This window comes from Homo sapiens, chromosome 2 (genome assembly GCF_000001405.40).
Source record: "Homo sapiens chromosome 2, GRCh38.p14 Primary Assembly".
NCBI classification, from domain to species: Eukaryota; Metazoa; Chordata; class Mammalia; order Primates; family Hominidae; genus Homo; species Homo sapiens.
In genome coordinates this window covers 3670606-3693820 of record NC_000002.12, presented here as the reverse complement: position 1 = coordinate 3693820, position 23215 = coordinate 3670606, and the positions used below count along the sequence as shown (strand labels likewise).

The 23215-nt window shown below is 43.8% G+C and overlaps 1 protein-coding gene and 1 pseudogene across 6 annotated transcripts in view; one reads left to right on the top strand and one right to left on the bottom strand.

Moving 5' to 3' along the window:
- Nucleotides 1–23215, bottom strand: part of ALLC (allantoicase) — a 56853-nt gene that overhangs the window by 8851 nt on the left and 24787 nt on the right. For 2 of the 6 annotated variants that reach the window (XM_017004495.2, NM_018436.4), the window contains 6 exons: nucleotides 22631–22725; nucleotides 19696–19746; nucleotides 15266–15353; nucleotides 13827–13952; nucleotides 12108–12187; nucleotides 10747–10879 (listed from right to left, as the gene is read on the bottom strand). In XM_017004495.2, coding sequence (XP_016859984.1) covers nucleotides 10747–10879; nucleotides 12108–12187; nucleotides 13827–13952; nucleotides 15266–15353; nucleotides 19696–19746; nucleotides 22631–22725 — 573 coding nt within the window. Of the gene's footprint in view, nucleotides 1–9933; nucleotides 10074–10746; nucleotides 10880–12107; nucleotides 12188–12613; nucleotides 12700–13826; nucleotides 13953–15265; nucleotides 15354–15455; nucleotides 16742–19695; nucleotides 19747–19858; nucleotides 19977–22630; nucleotides 22726–23215 lie in introns of those variants that run through there. The other 4 variants (XM_011510369.3, XM_017004496.3, XM_017004497.1 and 1 more) reach the window with 4 other exon arrangements.
- On the top strand, nucleotides 4762–6037 carry GAPDHP48 (glyceraldehyde 3 phosphate dehydrogenase pseudogene 48; annotated as a pseudogene).

The following is a 23215-nucleotide window of genomic DNA, read 5'->3' as shown; positions in this document are numbered from 1 at the left end:
AGACAAGGTTTCCCCATGTTGGCCAGGCTGGTCTTGAACTCCTGACCTCAGGTGATCTGCCCACCTCGGCCTCTTTCCAAAGTTATTTTTCTTATCTGTCTCCCACTGGGTTATTCACTTCATAAGGACAAGGACTCTGTCAAATCTAACAACAAATAGTTATGGAGCTTCTCCTGTGTTCCCCATGCTGTGCTAAGTGTCAGGTGTACAAAAATGACAATCTGGACTCACAGCCCTTTCTTCATGAAGCATACACTCTGTTGGTTCTGCCCTACACATTGTCAGGAAAATGATTTTATGGCCAATGCTCAGTCTGTAGCTCAAAGTAGTTATTCCACAGTGTATGTTAAATTAACAAGTGGGGAAAAGGTCTGACTCTCTTGTAAGCTTTGCTCATTCATTTTCTTGCACTGTTTTTAGAATAGATTATTTCAGTGAGTAATTAATATTAGTAAACGTGTTTAGATCTTTCCATTTTCATGTCTCACTTTAAAGCATCATAACCAGAGAAACATTGCATCTAAAATAAGGTTCCAGAGAACCACTTCTGGCATGACAGCAGGAGAGCTTTGCTGTCCTGTTCCTCAGTGGAGCTGGTAAAATTTAGGGGGGTTGAGGGATGGGAAAACACTTCAGGTCTCTGGAAATGGTCCTAAGGGCATACGGAAAATTCAGCAACATCTATTCAAGAATATCTGCTAAAATTCAGTAAGAACAGTGAGAGTCTGCGGTATTTGAACCAAGACCTCACCTGCACACCCTCTCCCAGATCAGCAAAGTGGAGACTGCAAACAAGTGCAGCCCATGGTTGCAGGGCTGTCTTCCCAGGAGAGGCAGGACATCAGGGCTTCTCATCCTGCCCCTATATGCCTGTTACTGAGGCTAAGCCCTGGGTGAGTGTGGTTGAGAGGCGGGGGCTCCTTTATTTGACCCAGCCCTGACTCATGGGACAGGGTCCTACCTTGAGATATTGGGGCCACAGTGACCCATTCTCATGATCCATAAGGTGGAGGCTTCACACTGAGGGTGAGACATCCCCAGCCCTGCAAACCCTGTAACTCAGCCAGAGGAAACACCAAATCAGAGTTGCTGTTCAGCAACACCATGTTGTAGGAGGTTTGTTCCACAGGTCCCCTAGAGACAAACACCTAGCTAACCTTCCCACACCACTAGAATATGCTCCCTGGGACCTCCCCTATTCTGATGGGCAGTAATTTGATTGCTTACTACAAATGAAGCAATCCTGGACTTAAGGTGCCATCTAGTGCTGAAAAGTAGGCAGCTACCTAGCAGGAAATAAAATCAACAGGAAATTTATAATGATTCTCTAAGCTAAGCTTGTCCAACACATGGGCAGTGGGTCTTATGAAGCCCATGGTGGCTTTGAATGTGGCCCAACACAAATCCATAAACTTTCTTAAAACAGTATGAGATTGTTTTGCAAAATTTTTTTGGCTCATCAGCTATCGTTAGTGTTAGGGCATTTTATGTGTGGCCCAAGACAATTCTTCCTCTTCCAATGTGGCCCAGGGAAGCTAAAATATTGGACACTCCCTACATCTAAGCAAATATATTCAACAAAAACTGAAACAACCCAGAAAGAAAAGACTGGAATAAATAACTAATGCTTCAATGCACAGGCATAGATGTATACCCATAAGAAACAACAGCAAAGAACTATGACATCCCCAAATGGACAAAGCAAGGAACCAGTGACTGATCATAATAAGACAGTGATATATGAACTCTGTGATCAATAATTCAAAATAGCAGTTTTAAGGAAACTCAGTGACCTCAAAGATAACACACAAAAGCAGCTTAGAAGTTTATCAGAGAAATTTAACAAAATTTCAATAATTTTTTAAAATCAAACAGAAAACTTTGAATGGAAAAACGTATTTGCTGAACCAAAAAATTCATTAGAGGCTCTTAAGAATAGAATGAAGCAAGCAGAGGAAAGAATCAGTGAGCTCAAAATGGGCTATTTAAAAATACACAGAGGAGAAAAAAATGAAAAGGAATAAAGATTGCTTACAAGATATAAAATATTACCTCAAAAGATCAAATCTAAGAATTATTGGTGTTGAGGAGGGAGTTGAGCAAGAGCAAGGGGTAGAAAGCTTATTCAAAGAAATAATAGAAAACTTTTCAAAACTTGATAAAGACATAAATATCCTGGTACAGAAAGCTCAAAGAAATGGATTGTATCCAAATAAGACTACTCCAAGGCATATAAAAAATCCTAAAGGTCAAGGACAGGCTGGGTATGATGGCTCATGCCTATAATTCCAGCACTTTGGGAGGTCAAGGTGGGTGGATTGCTTGAGCCCAGGATTTTGAGACCAGCCTGGGCAACATGGTAAAACCCCATTTCTACAAAAAAAAAAACAAATACAAAAATTAGCCAGGCATGGTGGTGTGCACCAGTGGTCCCAGCTACTTGGGATGCTGATGTGGGAGAATCATCTGAGCCAAAGGAGGTTGAAGCTGCAGTGACCTGTGATTGCACCACTGGACTCCAGCCTGGGTGACAAAGTGAGACCCTGTCTCAAGAAAAAAAAAAAAAGTCAAGGATAAAAATATCCTAAAAGCAGCAAGAGAAAAGAAGCAAATAACATAAAGAAGCTTCAATTCATCTGACAACAGACTTCTCAATGATAACCATACAGGCCAAAAAGAAGTGGGATGACATTTTAAAGTGCTGAAAGAAAAAAATACTGCCATCCAAGAATATTGTATCTAGAAAAGCTATCTTTCAAATATGAAAGAGAGAGAAAATCTTTCCTGGATAAACAAGAGCTGAGAGAATTCACCACCACCAGTCTTAAATGAAATGCTAAAGTTCTTCCATTTGAAAAAAAAAAAACACTAATGTGCAAAAAGAAAACATTTGAATTTATAAAACCCACTAGTAAAATTAAGTGCATTAACGAACTCAGAATACTCCAACACTGTAATTATAGTGTGTAATTCACTCATAACTCTAGTATGAAGTCCAAAAGACAAATCTATCAAAAATAATAATCTTTTTGTTGATATCTTTAACAGGTGTTAAAAGATAGGCAATATAAAAACATGCAAATTGAGACAACATGAAGTCAAAATGTGGGAGGAGGGATAAAGTTAAAAATGTAGAGTTTTTTTTTGTTTTTCTTTGTTTATTTCTATTTTTTTCTTTGTGATCTAAGATGAGTTGACATCTCTTTAAAATAACTTGTTATAAGATGTTTTTATAAGCCTCATGGTAACCACAGTGCAAAAACCTATAATAGATTTGCTAAAAATAAAAGTCAATTAAAACATACTATCAGAGAAAATTAGTTAACCACTAAGGCAGAAAGAAAGAAAAGGAAAGGAAAGGGAGGGGAGGGGAGGGGAGGGGAGGGGGGGAGGGGAAGGGGGAGGGGAGGGGAGGGGGGAGGGGAGGGGAGGGGGGAGGGGAGGGGAGGGGAGGGGAGGGGGAGGGGAGGGGAGGGGGGAGGGGAGGGGGGAGGGGAGGGGGGAGGGGAGGGGGAGGGGAGGGGGGAGGGGAGGGGGAGGGGGAGGGGAGGGGGGAGGGAAGGGAAGGGAAGGGGAGGGGATCAGAAAACAAGCAACAAAATGACAGTAAGCTCTTACTGATGACAATACTGAATGTAAATGGACTCAATGTTCCAAATAAAAGGTATACTGTTGCTTAATGGACTAAGAAACAAGGCCCAACTATATGCTGCCTACAAGAAACCCACTTGACCTATAAAGACACAAATAGGCTGACAGTGAAAGGATGGAAAAAGATATCTCATGCAACCAGAGGCCAAAAAAGAGCAGGAGTAGCTACACTTATATCAGATAAAATAGACTACAAATCAAAGACTGTTAAAAAAAAAAAAAGACAAGACACTGTATAATGATAAATGGGTCAATTATGAATATCTATGTGTCCAACACCAGAGCTTTCAAGTCTTATATAAAGCAAACATTAATAGATCTAAAGGGATAAATAGACTGCAATACAATAATAGTAGGGGACTTCAACACCTCACTTTCAGTAATGGACAAATCGTCCAGACAGAAAATCAACAAAGAAATAGTGAAGTTGAACTACACACTAGATCTAATGGCCCTAACTGACATTACAGAACATTTTACCCAACTGCTGCAGAATATGCATTCTTTTCATCAGCACATGGAACATTCTCTAGAATAGGCCATGTCTTGGGCCATAAAGCAAGTCTAAACAAATTCAAAAAAGTAGAAATCATATCAAGTATCTTTTCTGACCATAATGGAATAAAACTAGAAATCAATAATAAGAGACACATTGGAAAATACACAAACACATGTAAATTAAACAACATGCTCCTGAACAACAAATGGGTCAGTAATTAAGAAGGAAATTTTAAAAATGCTTGAAACAAATGAAAATGGAAATACAACATACAAAAATATATGGGATACAACAAAGGCAGTACTAAGAGGGAAGTTTATAGCAATAAATACCTATACCAAAGAAGTAGAAAGACTTCAAATTAATATAACAATGCATCTCAATAAACTAGAAAAGCAAGTATAAACCAATCCCAAAATTACTAGTAGAAGAAAAAAATAAAGATCAGAGGATAAATAAATGGCAACTAAAATAATACAGAGGATCAACAAAACAAAAAACTTGTTTTTTTAAAAAGAAACAAAAGTGATGGACCTTTAGCTAGACTAATTACAAAGAGAAAAGACCCCAAAAAATCAGAAATAGAGAAGGATACATAAAAAATGAGACTGGCTCTCTTCTCTTTTCCATTTGACAGACACCTGCATATTTTTATGCAGTGCCAGCTGGGTTCCTGAGGCAACAAGGTGAAAATGAAGGCCAGAGTAAACAAATTTGGCCACATTAAGCACCTGGTCACCAAGGCTGCTTTTAGCTCTGGCAAAGTGGATATTGTCATCATCAATGATGCCTTCATTGACCTCAACTACCTGGCCTACATGTTCCAGTAGGCTTCCACCCATGGCAAGTTCCACAGTATCATCAAGGCTCAGAATGAGAAGACTGACATCAATGGAAATCCCATCATTATCTTCCAGGAGCAAGATCCCCCCCAAAATCGAGTGAAATGACAGCGGTGCTGATTATGTTGTTGAGCCCACTAGAATCTCCATTACCATGGAGAAGGCTGAGGCTCACTTAGAGGGGTAAGCCAAAAGAGCCACCATCTCTGCCCCCTCTGCTGATGCCCCTTATGTTTATGTGGGGTGTGAATCATGAGAAGTATGAAAACAACCTCAAGATCCTTAGTAGTGCCTCATACACCACCTACTACTTAGCCCTTCTGGCCAAGGTCATCCATGACAACTTTGGCACTATGGAGGGACTCATGACCACAGCCTATGCAATCACTACCACTCCGAAGACCATGGGTGCCCCTTCTTGGAAACGTTGGCAGGATGGCCACAGGGCTCTACAGAACATCATCTCTGCATCTACTTGCACTGCCAAAGCTGTTGGAAAGGTCATCCCCAAGCTGAATGGAAGCTCACTAGCATGGTGTTCCATATCCCCACCTCTGTGTCATTTTGGACCTGACTTGCCATCTGGAGAAACTTGACAAATATGACACCATCAAAAAGGCGGTGAAGCAGGCATTGGAGGGCCCCCTCAAGGGCATCTTGGGCTATAGTGAGTGCCAGGTTGTCTCCTCTGACTTTAACAGACATTCACTCTTCCAGCTTTGATGCTGGGGCTGGCATTTCCCTCAATGACTACTTTGTCAAGCTTATTCCCTGGTATGACAATGAATTTGGCAACAGGGTAGTGGAGGCCTCATGGTCCACATGGCCTCCAAAGAGTAAGAGCCCCTGGACCACCAGCCCCAGCAAGAGCACAAGAAGATTAGAGAGGTTCTCAGCTGCTAGGGAGTCCCTGCCACACTCACTCTCCCACCATACTGAGAATCTCCCCCTGACACAGTTTCCATGCCAGGCCCCCTGAAAAGAGAGGGGCCTAGGGAGCCACATCCTGTCACATACCATCAATAAAGTCCACTGTACTCAGCCAAAAGGAAATGTGACCACAGAATTACAAAGATCAATTAGAGACTATTATGAACAACTACATACCAACAAATTGGAAAACCTAGAAGAAATGGATACATTTCTGGACACATACAATCTACCAAGATTGAACCATGAAGAAATAGAAAACCTTAATAAACCAATAATGAATGATGAGATAAAAGCTGAAATTTAAAAAGTCTCCCATTAAAGAAAATTCCAGGACCTAATGGCTTCCCTGCTGAATTCTACCAAACATAAAAGGAATAACTAATACCAATTTTACTCAAACTCTTCAAGAAAATTGAAGCAGGAGTACTTCCAAACTCATTCTACAAGGCCAGTATTACCCTGATACCAAAACCAGACAAAGACAACAACAAAAAAAGAAAACTACAGGTTAATATCACTGATGGACATAGATGCAAAAATCCTCAACAAAATACCAGCAAACTGAATTTAACAACACAATAAACAGATCACTCACCATGATCAAGTGGAATTCATTCCAGGAAGGCAAGCATGTCTCAACATACATGAATCAATAAACATGACACATCACTAACTGAACCAAGAACAAAAACCATATGATCATTTCGATAAATGCTGGAAAGCATTTGATAAAATTTAACGTCACTTCATGATAAGAAAAAAACCCTCAATAAATTGGGTATAGAAAAAAAAACTACCTCAAAATAACAAAAGCCACATATGACAAACCCACAGGTAACATCATACTTAATGGACAAAAAATGAAAGCCTTTTCTCTAAGATCCGGAACAAGACAAGGATGCCCACTTTCACCGCTTTTATTAACATAATATTGGAAGTCCTGGCTGGAGCAATTATGCAAGAGAAATAAATGGCATCCAAATTGAAAAGAAAGAAGTGAAGTTCTCCTTCTTCATAGACAATATGATCTTATACTTAGAAAAACCTAGACTCCACCCAAAAACTATTAGAACTGATAAACTAATTCAGTAGATTTTCAGGATACAAATTCAACATACAAAAGTCAGTAGCATTTATACACACCAACAGTGAATAATCTACAAAATAAAACAAGAAGGCAATCGCATATACAATAGCTACAAAAACTATAAAATACTGAGGAATCCATTTATCCTACGAAGTGAAAGAGCTATACAAGGAAAACTATAAAACACTGGTGAAATATATTGAAGAGGACACAGAAAAAATGGAAAGATGTTCCGTGCTCCTAGATTGAAAGAATTAATATTGTTAAAATGACAGTACTATCCAAAGCAATTTACAGATTCAATTCAATCCCTATTAAAATACCAATGATATTCTTCTCAGAAATATTTTTAAAAAGTAAAATTTAAATGAAAGACCCTGAATAACCAAAGCAAAAAAACAAAGCTGAAGGCATCACACTACCTGACTTCAAAATGTACTATGAAGCTATATAAGCAAATCAGAATGGTTATGGCATAAAAACAGACAACACAATAGAGAACCCAGATATAAATCAACACATTTACAGCCAACTCATTCTCAATAAAGGCACCAAGAACACGCAATGGGGAACAGTCTCTTCAGTAAATGGTGCTGGGGAAACTAGATAACTGCATGCCGAAGAATGAAACTAGACTCCTATCTCTCACCTTATGCAAAATGAAATCAAAATGGATGAAAAACTTAAATCTAAGACCTAAAACTATGAACATTCTAGAAGAAAACCTTGGGGAAATGCTCTAGGACATTGGTCTTGGCAAATATTTGTGTGTAAGACCTCAAAAGCACAGGCAACAACAGGAAAAACAGACAAATGGGATTACATCAAGCTAAAAGGCTGCTGTCAAAGGAAATAACAAAGTGGAGTGACAACCCATAGAGTTGGAAAAAAATATATTTGCAAACTATCCATCTAAGAAGGGATTAATAACAAGAATATATAAGGACAACTCAATAGCTAACAACTCAGTAGCAAAAAAAATAATTTATAAATGGGCAAAAGTTCTGAATAGATATTTCTCAAAAGAAGGCATACAAATGGGCAACAGGTATATTTTTTAAATGCTCAACATCTCTAATCATCAGAAAAATGCAACTCAAAACCACAATGAAATGTCATACCACCTCAGTTGAAATGGCTTTTGACATGGTCTGGTTCTGTATCCCCACTCAAACCTCATCTCTAATTGTAATCCCCACATGTCCAGGGAGGGACCTGCTTAGAGGTGATTGGATGATGGGGTGGTTTTCCCCATGCTGTTCTTCTGATAGGGAGTTCTTGTGAGATCTGATGTTTAAAAGTGGCTCTTCCCCCTTTCTCTGTCTCTCTCTGTCTGTCTGTCTCTGTCTCTCTCTCTCTCTGTCTCTCTCTCTCTCTCTCGATCCTGCTGCCATGTAAGACATGCCTTGCTTCGCCTTCTCTTTCTGCCATGATTGTAAGTTTCCTGAGGCCTCCCCAGTCATGTAGAACTGTGAGTTAATTAAACCTCTTTTGTTTGTAAGTTACCCAGTCTCAGGTAGTATCTTTATAGCAACGTGAGAGCAGAGTAATACCGCTTTTATTTAAAAAGACGGGGGAATAGTGGATGCTAGCGAGGATGTGGAGAAAGTGAAGCCCATGTACACTATTGGTGAGAATGTAAATTAGTACACTCACTATGGAAAACTATGAAAACTCCTCAAAAAACTAAAAATAGAACAACAATAGATTCATCCAGCAATCTCACTACTGTGTATATATCCAAAAGAAAGTAAATCAATATATTGAAGAGATATCTGCACTTCCAAGTTTACTGTGACACTGTTTACAATGTCACAGCCAAAATATGAAATCAAAGTAAGTGCCCATTAACAGAGGAATAGATTTTAAAAGTGGTATATATACACAATGGATTGGGGATGGATACCTCATTCTCCATGATGTGATTATTATTCATTGCATGCCTGTGTTAAAACATTTCATGTACCCCATAAATATATATATACCTACTATGTGCCCATAATTGAAAATATTTTAAAAAAGAAAATATGGTATATATACATATACCATGGAATACTATGCAGCCATAAAAAGGAATGAAATAATGGCATTCACAGCAACCTGGATGGAGTTGGAGACCATTATTCTAAATGAAGTAGTTCAGGAATGGAAAAGCAAACATCATATGTTCTCAGTTATAAGTGGGAGCTAAGCTATTAGGATGCAAAGACATAAGAATGATACAATGTGGGGAAGGGTGGGGGGTGAGGGATAACAGGCTACACATTGGATACAGTGTACACTGCTCTGGTGATGGGTGCACCAAAATCTCAGAAATCACCACTAAAGAACTTATCCATGTAACCAAACACCACCTGTTCCCCCAAAAACCTGTTGAAATTTAAGACAAGTGAATAGAGATCTGAAGAGAAATTTTTCCAAATAAAACATACAAATGGCCAATAAACATATGAAAAGATGTTCCTCCTCATTAGTCATCAGGGAAATGCACATCAAAACCACAATGAGACACCACCTCACATCCACTAGGATGACTATAAACAAAAAGTAAGACAGAGAGTGCTGGGAAAGGCAGGGAGAAATCAGCACTCCTTTACGTGGCTGTTAAGAATGTAAAATAGTGCAGCACTTTCGGAAAAGCCTAGTAATTCTTCAAACAGTTAAACACAGAGTTATCATATGACCCAGAAAGTCCAGTCTTAGGCATACACTCAACAAAAGAAAGCATATATCCACACAAAATCTTGTACACAAATGTTTACAGCAGCATTGTTCAAAATAGCCAGCAGATGGAAACAAGTGTCTGTCAACTAATGAACGGGTAAACAAAATGTGGTAGTGGTTGAGTATCCCTTATCTGAAATGCTTGAGACCAGAAGTGTTTGGATTTCAGTTTTTTTAAATATTTGCATTATACTTACTGGTAGAGTGTCCCAAATCCAAAATCTGAAATATTCCAGTGAGCATTTCCTTTGAGCATCATGTCAGCACTCAAAAAGTTTTGGATTTTGGAACATTTCAAATTTTGGGGCTTTCAGATTTGAGATGCTCAACCTATATTAGCCTTACACAAAAAGAAAGAAAGTGTTAATACATGTTACAACATGGATGAATCTTGAAAACATTATACTAAGTGGAAAAAGTCAGACACAAAAGACCAATATTATATAATTCCTACTTATATGAAATGTCCAAAATAGTCAAAACTATCAAGACAAAAAGCAAATTAGTGGTTGCTTTGGGATAGGGAAGATGAGGGATGATAGCTAAAGGATATGGGGTTTCTTTCTGAGATGATAAAAATGTTCTAAAGGTATGGTGATGGTTGCACGTGTCTATGCATATGCTATACATCATTGATTGTACACTTCAAATGGGTGAACTGCATGTTAATTATATCACAATAAAGCTATTAAAAAATAAAATGAGTCATTTGTACATACCACTTCAGCTGCTAATATAACATACTTGTGAAATCTAGTTAGGATCTATCTAACCTAATACAACTTAGTTCCACCACATCCTAATTTACTTGATAATTTTTCAATAACCACCTATTGATGTGTGGATTAAAACAAGAATTTTCTAGAGCATAAAAAGGAGAAATTACAATCCTGAAATGCTAGAGAGATCAATTACCAAGAAGGAAAGAGCAAGTCATTTTATATTTTATAAACATGTCAACATAAAATAAAGAAGCCATGGAACTGGTGATAAGTCCATGTCACGATTACCTGGGAAAATGTTGAGTCTGATATGAGTCCATCTCTGCTGGGAATTGACAAGAAAATAGTTGTGGCCGGAAGCAGGGTTTCCTGGCTTAAGCTCAGTCATGGGAACCAAGTAACTCCAGTCGTCGGATTTTAGCTAGCAATAAATATAGAAATGTCAGCAATTGCTCTTGAAAACAATAAATTCTGTCATCCTATTGCCTCTGTGGCACTTAAGGTGTGGAGATACTTTGGAATAAAAATTAATGATGGATGCCGGGCACGGTGGCTCACGCCTGTAATCCCAGCACCTTGGGAGGCCGAGGCGGGCGGATCACAAGGTCAGGAGATCGAGACCATCCTGGCTAACACGGTGAAACCCCGTCTGTACTAGAAATACAAAAAATTAGCCGGGCGTGGTGGCGGGCGCCTGTAGTCCCAGCTACTCGGGAGGCTGAGGCAGGAGAATGGCGTGAACCTGGGAGGCGGAGCTTGCAGTGAGCCGAGATCGCGCCCCTGCACTCCAGCCTGGGCCACAGAGCGAGACTCCGTCCCAAAAAATAAACAAACAAATAAATAAATAATGATGGATACCTAATGAAACACTTTAATAAAAATAGTACATATCAAGCCCCATGTTTAATAAAAAACAGAATAAAGGCCTGTTTTGTTTTCACTGATCAAAACAGCCAGTGGGTGATGGTGGCAGATGCTTGCAAATGAAGGACAAGATCTCAGACCCCTCCAAATGTCTTCACCTTGAGGTGTGGTGAGGTGAACATTCAAATAAAAACCAAGGCTACTGCCATGCTCCATGACCTCTGGGGAAATCTGCTGGCCTGAGCCTTGCAACCATTTTCTCTAGGTTAGCACTTCTCAAACTAACGGCCCTGTTTACTGTTCCTGTTATTTACTTTCCTGTCTGTTATGGATCAACATTTCTGTAAAAAACAATACAAACTATTACTAAATAAACATTAAAAAAACAAGAATGTACCAAAACACAAGCCCTATTTATTTTTTTCCCCCGTTTCTTTTATTAAATTCTCCAAACACAAACGTTACTTCAAGTTACATCAAGTTGGTATAAAAAGTGTTTAAACGCTTACTATCAGTTTCTGTATGTGTGCTTATCGGGGCCAGCAGCCATTTGCAGATGGGTGCTGGTGGAACCCTTTGAGAAGCCTTTGGGCCATGATGCTCACTCTTCCCAGGTTGATGAACCACTGAGACGTTTGCAAGGCCACAGTGGGTAAGCAAATGATGTGGGGAGCATCAGGGCTGGGCGTCCCAAAGAATCGCCTTGCACAGCCAGGTGTGCAGAGCAGTTTCCCTACTCTCCTAATAATTGGTGACAAGACCCAATTCATTTGGGGGAGATGTACCTCAGCAATGGCTTCAAACTCCTCAGGAGTGGCTGCAGCTCCTGTCCTGGTTCCTCTTTCTGGGATTTCTGGTAGTTTATCTGTAGTTGGAATGACCATTCAGGATTAAGATTAGGGTTCAAAATCAAAGGGAATCTACTCTCTTGGTGGTTTGTATGGTAATTCTCGCTTTGCAAATAACACTAAAGATATTTCGAAGTATCAAATGATCAAAGTAATAGACACACTTGTTGAAGTTCCTCAATATTTAATATATTAACAGTCATTTCAAAAAATAGTACAAGATGTTTGATACTACATTTGCTTGTCAAACAGTAAATGTCATCTCCAAGTTAGCTCAAACTTCAACAAGTTTATCACATCGCTAGAGTTTTCAAAGTTGGACTATTACAAGGTCAATTCCAGAAACACCACCTCTCCCAGTGGCATCCTTAGAATTGATACTGGGGCAATTCAGAAATAGAAGCACTCATGGGCAGTTGAGGGGCTTGCCGAAACAATCTTACTCGTTTGTCACTGGTCATTTCCGCTTTTAGAGTAGCATCTCTTGTAGCATCATTTCCTGTTCAGGTGCCCCAGCCATCTTCAGGGAGCAGGGCCCGTTCGTGTCCACAGAGCCTCATGCAGCGCTGTGCACATAGCATGTTCAGTGTAAACTTGCCAACCCACATTGACTTATCTTCCCTAAGTACATGTATAAACACACACATAATTGTATATTTTTTTTAATTAATGCTAAAGTCAACATCAGATGGTAACAAAGGAATAAAAATACAGAAAGTCTGTGGAGACAAAGTGACTCCATCTTGGATGCGAATCTGCCATGTCAATGTCTGATTAGCCTCAATCCTGTGAACACGTCCTGCTTCCAACTTGATTTACTGTCCTTAGTCCAGAACATGTCAACCTTGATATTATCGCACAAATCAGAGGCTGTGACGCACACCGCCCTCTTCCCTGTTCTGGAGGCTGCCTTCAGTTGTCCCGCTGGAGCACGCAGACCCTTTCCCTACAGCATGTGAGCCCTGAGTCCGGGCAGTAACAGTGCAGAGATTTACCCATCTCGCTGCTGCCCAAGGCCACGCTTCTGTCCGTAAGTTCCCCCAATAAAATACCCGTTACCAACAGACTGGATTTGTCAGCCTCTTTCTTTGGTTTCTTGGCTTCTTCAGCACCTGAGGTCTGCTCTGTGTATATGGCCCTTTCACAGAATACGTCTCATTTATAGAGCCTGCAGGATTCATAGGTCCAGCATTCCAAGATGCAGATAGGAACCCTTGCCTAAAATGCCATAGCAGCTCCCCCATCACACACACTGGGACAGCCCAAAGCAGGGCTGGTGCTGCTCACCCCACAGCTGTCCCAGACCTGGGTCCACATCACCCGGGTCATCTGAGGCACAAACCACTCCCTCCCGCCCACCAGCAACCTGCTCACCCACGTTCCAGGGATGATGGCCTGCCTCTGCGTGAAGCTGAAGGACCGTGGGAATGATAAAATCTATATCTGGCTGTTAACACTATTAAGCCACAAATCAAAAACCACAGAGCGCTCTACTAGGAGTCCTGGTCCTACAGCCCCGTTACAGTAAAGTAGCCTTAGTCAAGCGCCTGAAGCTGTCTGGGTGGTAGGGAAAGTGAGCAGTTGTGGGGCTGTGGCTGGCCAGAGGAGCCATGTGACCCATAATTCTCATTTTGGGGACAGTGGTTCCTAACGCACCTTCTTCCAAGTTTGCTGCTTGAATGGACACTCGAGGAGCGTAATCTCCCGTGAAGTAAGAAACGTCCACGTCGAAGCCCCGGATGACTCCTTGGATCCCCAGCCTGAGGACACACCAGTCGTGACCTGCGCAACACAGAGGACAAGAGCAGTCTCGTTAGGGCCAACACAGCAGATGCTGCATGCGAGGCAGTGCACCCCACATGCACCTGACCCACAGCAGGGGCCATTCCGTCCATCACAGAAAAAACTGTTCAGGGCGGTTCTTAGCTAATATGACTGTAGGATCTCTCATAACCTGGCCACATGTGACCACCATTCCCCAACGAAAATCCTCAGTTCTAGCCAGAAGAGAAAATGCACAGGCTGGGATCCAGGAAGACCTGATTCTGGTTCCAAATGGATCATTTCCTATGACTGTCCTTGGCAAATTATTTACCTCTTACAGTAGAGAATCTCATTTTCTCAACTGTAAATTAGGGATGCCGTTAGCTTCCATAAAGCTTAGACTGAGTGTGCGATGTAGAAAGCACCTCACCAAGCTCAGCAGGTAGTAAGCAGAGCTGGTTCTCCTGCAGACACTGTGTTCATTGTCCTCTCAAGCTCAGGAACTGACACAGCACCCTCCAGCCTCCAGCCCCACCACTGGTCAGACACCTGCCTGCATCTACCAAAGCCTTCAGAGTCTTGAAGTCAAGTCTGCCACTATTGAGTTCTTGGTTATTTACTGCCAGATATTAACTCACCTTAAAATGTCCAGATTTGTTAGAAACTAATACTGCTTCAAGTACTGTAGAAAGTTAGAAAACTAGAAATATCAAATATTTCTGTAATACTTGAGATAGTGGCAAGTAAAAATCCAATTATCAACCTAATGCCTGGATTTGTTTGCTTTTCTTCAACTTCAGAAGGTATATTTTGATTGAGACTGAGTAATAGCAATGAATAAAAATTGCATAAAATCGTAAAAGACAGCGGGTACAGTGTTGAGGACAGACCCTGGCCCAGTCCCCAGCTTATCTTGCTAGCAGTGTGCCCTGGGCTGAGTCCAGGAATCTGTTTCCATGGCGGTTAAACGGGGATAAAGAGACCTACTCCAGAGGACTGTAGTAAGGACCCAGAAGATGCACGCTGCCTAATGCCTGCCACATTGCTCAGTGAGAATCCACTCTTTTTTCCATCCGCAGACCTCACCAGGGTTTTCATTTTCCCGACAACGTGCTTCTCACCCTTTGTGCCTGGTGGGACGTCAGTGACCCGGGCTCACGCTGCCCCTTCCTGACTTAGAGCCTGATGTTCAGATAAGGACATCCAAGATTACAGAGCATTCCAGGGCCCCATGTTAAAGCTGACCCAAAACGGACACTGGCTTTGCCACAGCCTGCGTTTTTAACTTTGCAGTGTCAGCTGCACTTCGATGAACGAACCGTTGTTATTACCTGGAATCCTTTTCCTCCTGGTCTCCCAGCCATCCATCCATTTCCCAAACTCCGTATATTCATGCTCTTTGAAGCACGGGCTGTCACTCTAGGGCAAAGACCACAACAAGGTGATCATTAACATTCATGTGATCTCCTGGCTTCCAGCAAGTCCACTTCTGTCCCACAGTGCCAGAGGAACGGTGCAAACCGGGGTCTAGGGGAGCCTCTGCCACCACCTTCATGCCCAGCTAGCCCCTTCCAGATTGAGAGATGCCTCCGCTTTTATCATCTTCAGAGAAAGAAATGTGACTTCTTTGTGGGCCTCAGCACACAGAATTGACCACTGATAGCAGCAGGTACAACCACATCACCAGGCACTCTGTGGGCCGCACAAATGCAATTCCCAACAGCAACCTACATGGGTATTAAAGTGAGAGAGGCTGGTCAGATTTCCAAGCAGGCCAGGTAGACTATTCAATCAGGAATTCATCCAAAGTCATAGGAAGAGTAGGCTGGACGCTCAGGGTCCAGGTGAAACCACACAGCACACTCTGCAACCCCCTGAGGAAATGCATGGTCTCTGATGCCCCACACAGCCTCCTTAGACAGCTGAGCACACTTCTTCATCTTCCAGAATGAGGAGGATACACGCATCCTCGCAGGAGTGTCATGAAGTTGGAATAGCCGACATGAAAGACCCTCAAATAGCGTGGATGCTCAGAAATCGTTATGCTGGCCCAGCATGGGGATACTTTCCCTGTTTCCATCAAGTCGTGCAAGGAGGATCTTACGTTACTGCTTAGGGAATCTCCCCAGGCAGGAGCAGAGGAAGGGACTAGGGGTAGCAGGACCCAGGGCGGCAGGGATGCTCTGATGGAAGCTGATGCATGAGACGCCAACCAGGGATCCCGCCAGACTCCCTGGTGTGACAACCTGCCCAGCCTCCCAGGCAGGGGACCCGTGGCCAACGGTACCCACCTTCCTGTGCCTCAGTGCTCCTCCTCTGTCAAAGGCAAACAGCCATCGTGCTATTGACCGCCTCTGGCTGTTGTCAACCTTAAATGTGCCTGGCACATAGTAAGTGCCCAGTATTTAGCATTATACATGAAAGTTGATGGTATTTTGAATGTTATTACAATCAAATCACATCTTAAAGACAGCACACACTCCAGCCTTTCCATTACTCATCAGGAATTGCAAAACTCTGCTCTGAACCCAGAAGGAGAGAAGGAGGTACACCTCCCACTTAAACCCCAGACCTCCAAGGCCCCAAACTTTTTGGTGTTTAGTTTTGGGGGTAGGTTGATTGTTTCAGGTGTGTTGCTGCTACTGCTGCTGTTGTGATTGGACTGACACTGAACGGTGTGAGGGAAGCTGGGGACACACGCTACTGAACCAGTGGCAGGAAAACAGCCCTGTTGTAAAACTGGCTCATGCCATGTGATGTTCCTTAAAAATGTGTGTTCCTTAAAAAAAGAGAAAAACTAGTCAGGTGCGGTGGCTTACACCTGTAATCCCAGCACTTTGGGAGGCCAAGGAGGGCGGATCACCTGAGGTCAGGAGTTCGAGACCAGCCTGGCCAACATGGTGAAACCCCCTCTCTACTAAAAATACAAAAATTAGCTGGGCGTGGTGGCGGGTGCCTGTAGTCCCAGCTACTTGGGAGGCTGAGGCAGGAGAATCACTTGAACCCAGGAGGTGGAGGTTGTGGTGAGCCGAGATCATGCCACTGCACTCCAGCCTGGGCAACAGAGTGAGACTCTGTCTCAAAAAAAAAGAGAGAGAGAGAGAGAAACCAAGGACTGGTCCCAGGGATAAACCGACACACGTGCACACACTTGTACAAGGATGTTTTCAATACGTGCAAAATGTCATCAACCTAAATGTGCATCAACAAGGAAAGGGGGCCATAAAATGGACCACGATGACATGGACAGTTATTATTCGGCAGCTAAGAGGGTGGCCTGGGTCTACACACATCAGCACCAATGGCATTCACAAACACGCAGTGAGAAAAGCAGGTTTAGGGCCGGGCACGGTGGCTCACGCCTGTAATCCCAGCCATTTGGGAGGCCGAGGCAGGAGGACTGCTTGAGCCCAGGAGCTAGAGACCTCATCTCTACAAAAAATTTAAAAATTCGCTGGGCACAGTGGAGTATGCCTGTAGTCCCAGTGAGGCAGGAGGATCGCTTGTGCCCAGGAAGTCGAGGCTGCAGTGAGCCATGACCGTGCCACTGCACCCCAGCCTGACAGCCTGATCACAGCGAGATCCTGCCCCACCCCCACCAAAAAAAGTGTGCAGAATGCTAAGTGCTTTGTGAAAATATGTATATAAATTTAGAATACAAAATATCTTATATATTTACGAATATATGTGTATTTAAGTGTATAAAATACATTAGAAGAATTCTCTGCAACAGACTGAATGTTTGTCCCCCACCAAAATTTGTATGTTGAAACCTAATCCCCAGAGTGATGGTATTCGGAGATGAGGACTTTGGGAGGTGATTAGGTCACAAGGGTGGAGCCCCCATGATGGGATGAGTGCCCATGTGGGAGGAGGCAGGAGATGGCCTGCTTCCCCTCTCTTCTCTGTCACCTGAGGGAATCAGCGGCAGGTGGCCATCCCAAGAGGGCCCTCACCAGATGCTGGAGCTGCTACTGTCTCAGGCTCGGTCTCAGACTTCCAGCCCCCAGAACTTCAAGAAATCACTGTGTTTAAGCCACCACCCATCTGCAGTATTTTGCTTCAGCAGCCCCAACAGCCTAAAGTATTTTCCCATCCTACAACAGTGTGAATGGTGGAAAGGGAGGGCGTGGACTGGCACTCAAGTTGGAGGTGAACGGTGAACTTTACATTTATCTGTAATGTTATTTTTTTCAAAAAGGAGAAATATATGTGTCTCGTGTGATGTTATAGCGTGACTATATATACACATATGTAGTGTGTAAGTGTTTATATGTGTGTGTGTGTATATATATATATATATGCTCAAGTATAAAATCTAAGAAATAGTGCCCTACCCTCTCTCCCACCCCATTTCCAAGCCCACCTCTCTCTTCACAGATAATCACATCTCACTGTTTGATGTGTGCGCCTTCAAACTCTGTTTTACACTCATAAAATATACATGGATCTCTCTTGTTGCCAGTGAATGGAGAGCTTGCTTTTTTTTTTTTTTTTTTGACAGGGTCTTACTCTGTCACCCAGGCTGGAGTGCAGTGGCATGATGATGGCTCACTGCAACCTCAACGTCTTGGGCTCAAGCAATCCTCCCAGCTCAGCCTTCTGAGTAGCGGGGACTACAGGTACACATAGCCATGCCTGGATAATATTTTTTATTTTCAGAAATGGGGTCTTGCTCTGTTGCCCAGGCTGGTCCCAAACTCCTAGGCTCAAGTGATCCTCCTGCCTTGGCTTCCCAAAGTGCTGGGATTACAGGTGTGAGCCACAGTGCCAGGCCTACCTCATTCTAGTAGCCACATAATAGTCCATATCTGGAAGAGCTATAATTTCTTTAGTTCCCTATCAATCAATGAACACTTAGGTTGGTTATCTCCTCTCCAAACAATACCAGAATGAATGTTTTCTACCTATTTTTTTGCCCACTTGTGCAAACGATGTAAATCTGTGGAACAACTAGGTCAAGGTAGACATGCATTTCAGTGTTTCAAAGACCGGACCTGTGGTAAAATGGTAAGAGCTTTGGCATTTAGTAACTGTGTGACCTAGAAAAAGTTAATTCATGTTGCCCTTTCTCATTTTATTTTCACTTTCTCCTGGGGAATAGGTAAGTTAACACTGTAAGGTGCCTTCTCAGGGCCATACTTCAGCTTGCTCTGGACCCAGCCAGGTCCTGCCCAGACAGAGAGCAACCATTTCACCAGGGTAACCAGATGGCCGCTGCCCACAATGGAGGCCAGTCATGAATGCTGTACGTGGGCATTAGCTCAATGTGCACCTGTGTTTGTCTCTCCACGCACAAGAGTTCGCATCTCCACACTGGGTATGACGGAGGAGCAGGACGCCAGCAGGGCCGCCATTTCTTCCCTATGTTCGTCAGCATTTTCTCTATTTTTTTAATAAGCTGTCCTGCACTTTTATAATTAGGCAGGTAAAACATTTCCCAGAAAATTCAAGACATAGATCCATTTTCTTCCCAACACAAATGATGAAATTCACCTTACCCAGAAGAGCAGTATTTGAGGACCTCAGAATTTTCCCCAGGAAACAATGCAGTCCCAAATTACTTGCTCAGATCCCTGTCTCTGCTATGTTTTGGCATGAGTTCATGCTGATTTGCATGTCTTTCTAACATTCTAATATGCTAATTTGCCAGTGTACATCACATGACTCCATCCCAAATATACAGGGAGATTTTAATAACAAGGCGGCATAGATTTCTCTACATCAACCCTTTACATTGCAGAATGTCAATTTACAATACCTTTATGAGGTTTTCTGCAGGAGCAAAAAAGTCATCTGTTGCAAATAAAATCTAGACAAAGAAAGAAAGAAAGAAAGATAAAGCAACCATAAATCTGATACCATTTTATTTCATTCCCTAGTGAAACATTATGAGATGAAGTAAAAAGAAAACGTGAAATCACCTAGGGGAAGCGACAGAATCTGCAGTTAAGCCATGATGCCTTGAAATGCTTCCATTTCATTGTCTGCCTCCTCCTTCTTCTTCTCTTCCCACCCTTTTTTCCGATTCTCCTTTACCATCTGGAGGTAAGAGCACTAACATCTTACACTCAAGAAGCAAATAAACCAACTTTCTTTTTTTCATGAACCAGAGGTTTCGTGCTACTTTTACAAACCGAGCAATGACCAAAAAAGCTCTGGGTTACGTATGCGGTTGGGGCCTCTGTGTTCACCCACAAGGGCCGCCATAGGTCACCCTGCAGGTGGGCTGTCCTGGTCATTCATCCACCAAAGCAGGATCATTTTGAGAGTGAGGTCAATGATACTAATTGTACATCCAGAATACAAGGTAAATCAGATTTTCCTGAGCAAAACAGGCTGTGGTCACTCCACCCAAGCCAGGACTCTGTGGTCACTGCAGCCTGGAGGGCACCCTGCCCCAGGCTCTGACTCCAGCCCAGGAGTTCGAAAGGCAGGAAGGACGAGCTGTTTCAGAGCTGCTGGCTGTTTGAGTGGCAGAGCAGAGGGAAGACCTGATGTGCTGAGGTTGACCTGTTCCAGGGTTCAAATGGCAGGTAGGTGGACATATCAGGATCCCCCTTGCTCCAGATCTCTCTGTGGCTCCTCAGCAGAAGGCTTCACAGGGCACATGGGGCCTCTCCTACCTCTCCAGACTCGTGCTCCCAACTCTTCTCACAAACGCGCAGCGTGTTCTTGAAACACTGAGCCACCTGGAGCATGTGGGCTCCCTTGCTCTCCTCGCAGACACCTCTGCCAGAACCACCCTGCACCTCATCCCTGCCCGCCAGCTGCTCTCCAGCAAGCTGCCTCCAGCAGCACTCAGCTGGCCCATCCCCACCCCTCCCACCCCAATTCCCCCAGGCTACCCATGGCTGGAGTCCATGTGCTCCCCCAGCACCCTGGCATTGTGCCAGTCACAGGGCTGGTCTGGACTTACATCTGTCTCCCTGCTAGAGTGTAGCTTCCTGGGGGCAGGCACAGGGTCTTCCCTTTCTGTACCAGACACACTGCTTCTGAGCACAGCCTGCACCCCAGCGCCTCTGCACATTATGTTTAATGAGTTCTCCAGGTGACCCTCATTACACACTAGAGCCAGAGGACCACAGGTCTAACTACAGCCAGAGGACCTCCGATCTAACCAGAGCCAGAGGACCTCCTATCTAACCAGAGCCAGAGGACTTCCGATCTAACCAGAGCCAGAGGACTTCCGATCTAACCAGAGCCAGAGGACCTCCCATCTAACCAGAGCCAGAGGACCTCCCATCTAACCAGAGCCAGAGGACCTCCTATCTAACCAGAACCAGAGGACCTCCCATCTAACCAGAGCCAGGGGACCTCCCATCTAACCAGAACCAGAGGACCTCCTATCTAACCAGACCCAGAGGACCTCCCATCTAACCAGAGCCAGAGGACCTCCGATCTAACTAGAGCCAGAGGACCTCCGATCTAACCAGAGCCAGAGGACCTCCCATCTAACCAGAGCCAGAGGACCACAGGTCTAACTAGAGCCAGAGGACCTCGGATCTAAATAGAGCCAGAGGACCTCCCATCTAACCAGAGCCAGAGGACCTCCTATCTAACCAGAGCCAGAGGACTTCCGATCTAACCAGAGCCAGAGGACCTCCCATCTAACCAGAGCCAGAGGACCTCCCATCTAACCAGAGCCAGAGGACCTCCTATCTAACCAGAACCAGAGGACCTCCCATCTAATCAGAGCCTGGGGACCTCCCATCTAACCAGACCCAGAGGACCTCCCATCTAACCAGAGCCAGAGGACCTCCAATCTAACTAGAGCCAGAGGACCTCCGATCTAACCACAGCCAGAGGACCTCCCATCTAACCAGAGCCAGAGGACCACAGGTCTAACTAGAGCCAGAGGACCTCGGATCTAACTAGAGCCAGAGGACCTCGGATCTAAATAGAGCCAGAGGACCTCGGATCTAAATAGAGCCAGAGGACCTCGGATCTAAATAGAGCCAGAGGACCTCCCATCTAACCAGAGCCAGAGGACCTCCCATCTAACCAGAGCCAGAGGACCTCCCATCTAACCAGAGCCAGAGGACCTCCAATCTAACCAGAGCCAGAGGACCTCCCATCTAACCAGAGCCAGAGGACCTCCCATCTAACCAGAGCCAGAGGACCTCCGATCTAACCAGAGCCAGAGGACCTCCCATCTAACCAGAGCCAGAGGACCACAGGTCTAACTAGAGCCAGAGGACCTCGGATCTAAATAGAGCCAGAGGACCTCGGATCTAAATAGAGCCAGGGGACCTCCCATCTAACCAGAGCCAGAGGACCTCCCATCTAACTAGAGCCAGAGGACCTCCCATCTAACCAGAGCCAGAGGACCTCCTATCTAACCAGAGCCAGAGGACCTCCTATCTAACCAGAGCCAGAGGACCTCCGATTTAACTCCAGCTAGAGGACCTCAGATCTAACTAGAGCTAGAGGACCGCCTGCCTATCTAGAGCAGAGGACCACAGTCTGTCCTCTAGTGAAACACACAAAATCTAAGGCAGTATTGTCCTTGCTGAGAATTGTCACCAATTTAAGATAAATTCTTTGGAAGTCTTTCTCGCTAACGGGTTTCCTTGGGCAGGCCAACACTTCAGCCTGATTCTTGTTGATTCTTGCATGAGGTTCTCTGCACTGGTGAGTTGTGCCCTTAGCACGGATGCCTTCAACCCTTGTTTGGCCATGAGAGACCCACTTACTTTTCCTCCTACGGATTCAGATGCCATGTCCATCAGCTGGGTGAAGTCCAGAAACCGGGTCAGTCTTCCCTCCTTCGGAGCATCAGCCGTGCTTCCTGGAAGGGAGAGGGCAGCTCGGTCAACCTTGGGGGCTGCGGGAGTGAGTGAGGCCCCGTCTAGGCTCCTGACGCTAAGATTTGAGACTTTCAAAAGTCAGGCAGTGACAGAACTGGATGTACTGTCAACTGTACCTGACAGGTGCCCTCTGCTCAATGAGGTTGAACTAAAAAGAGACTTTGCTTAAACACGCTGAAACGGGGAAGGAATTAGAACATGGCTTCCTTCTAAAGTATTTAAAAATAAAATATCACTAGCTATACAAACCCTATCGCCACAAAATGCAAAATTTTATTTTATTGTTTAAAAGAGAGAGATTATTTTAATTTTGAAAATAATAACTTGCTTTTAATAGTCTTTGAAGCCATTCAAAACACATGTATTGAGACCCTGGGTGGCAGGCCCTGGCTAGACGTGGGAAACAGCAGAGCCCACCCGCCCACAAGAACACCCCCACACGGGAACAGACGTCCACTGACGCGCAGGCCA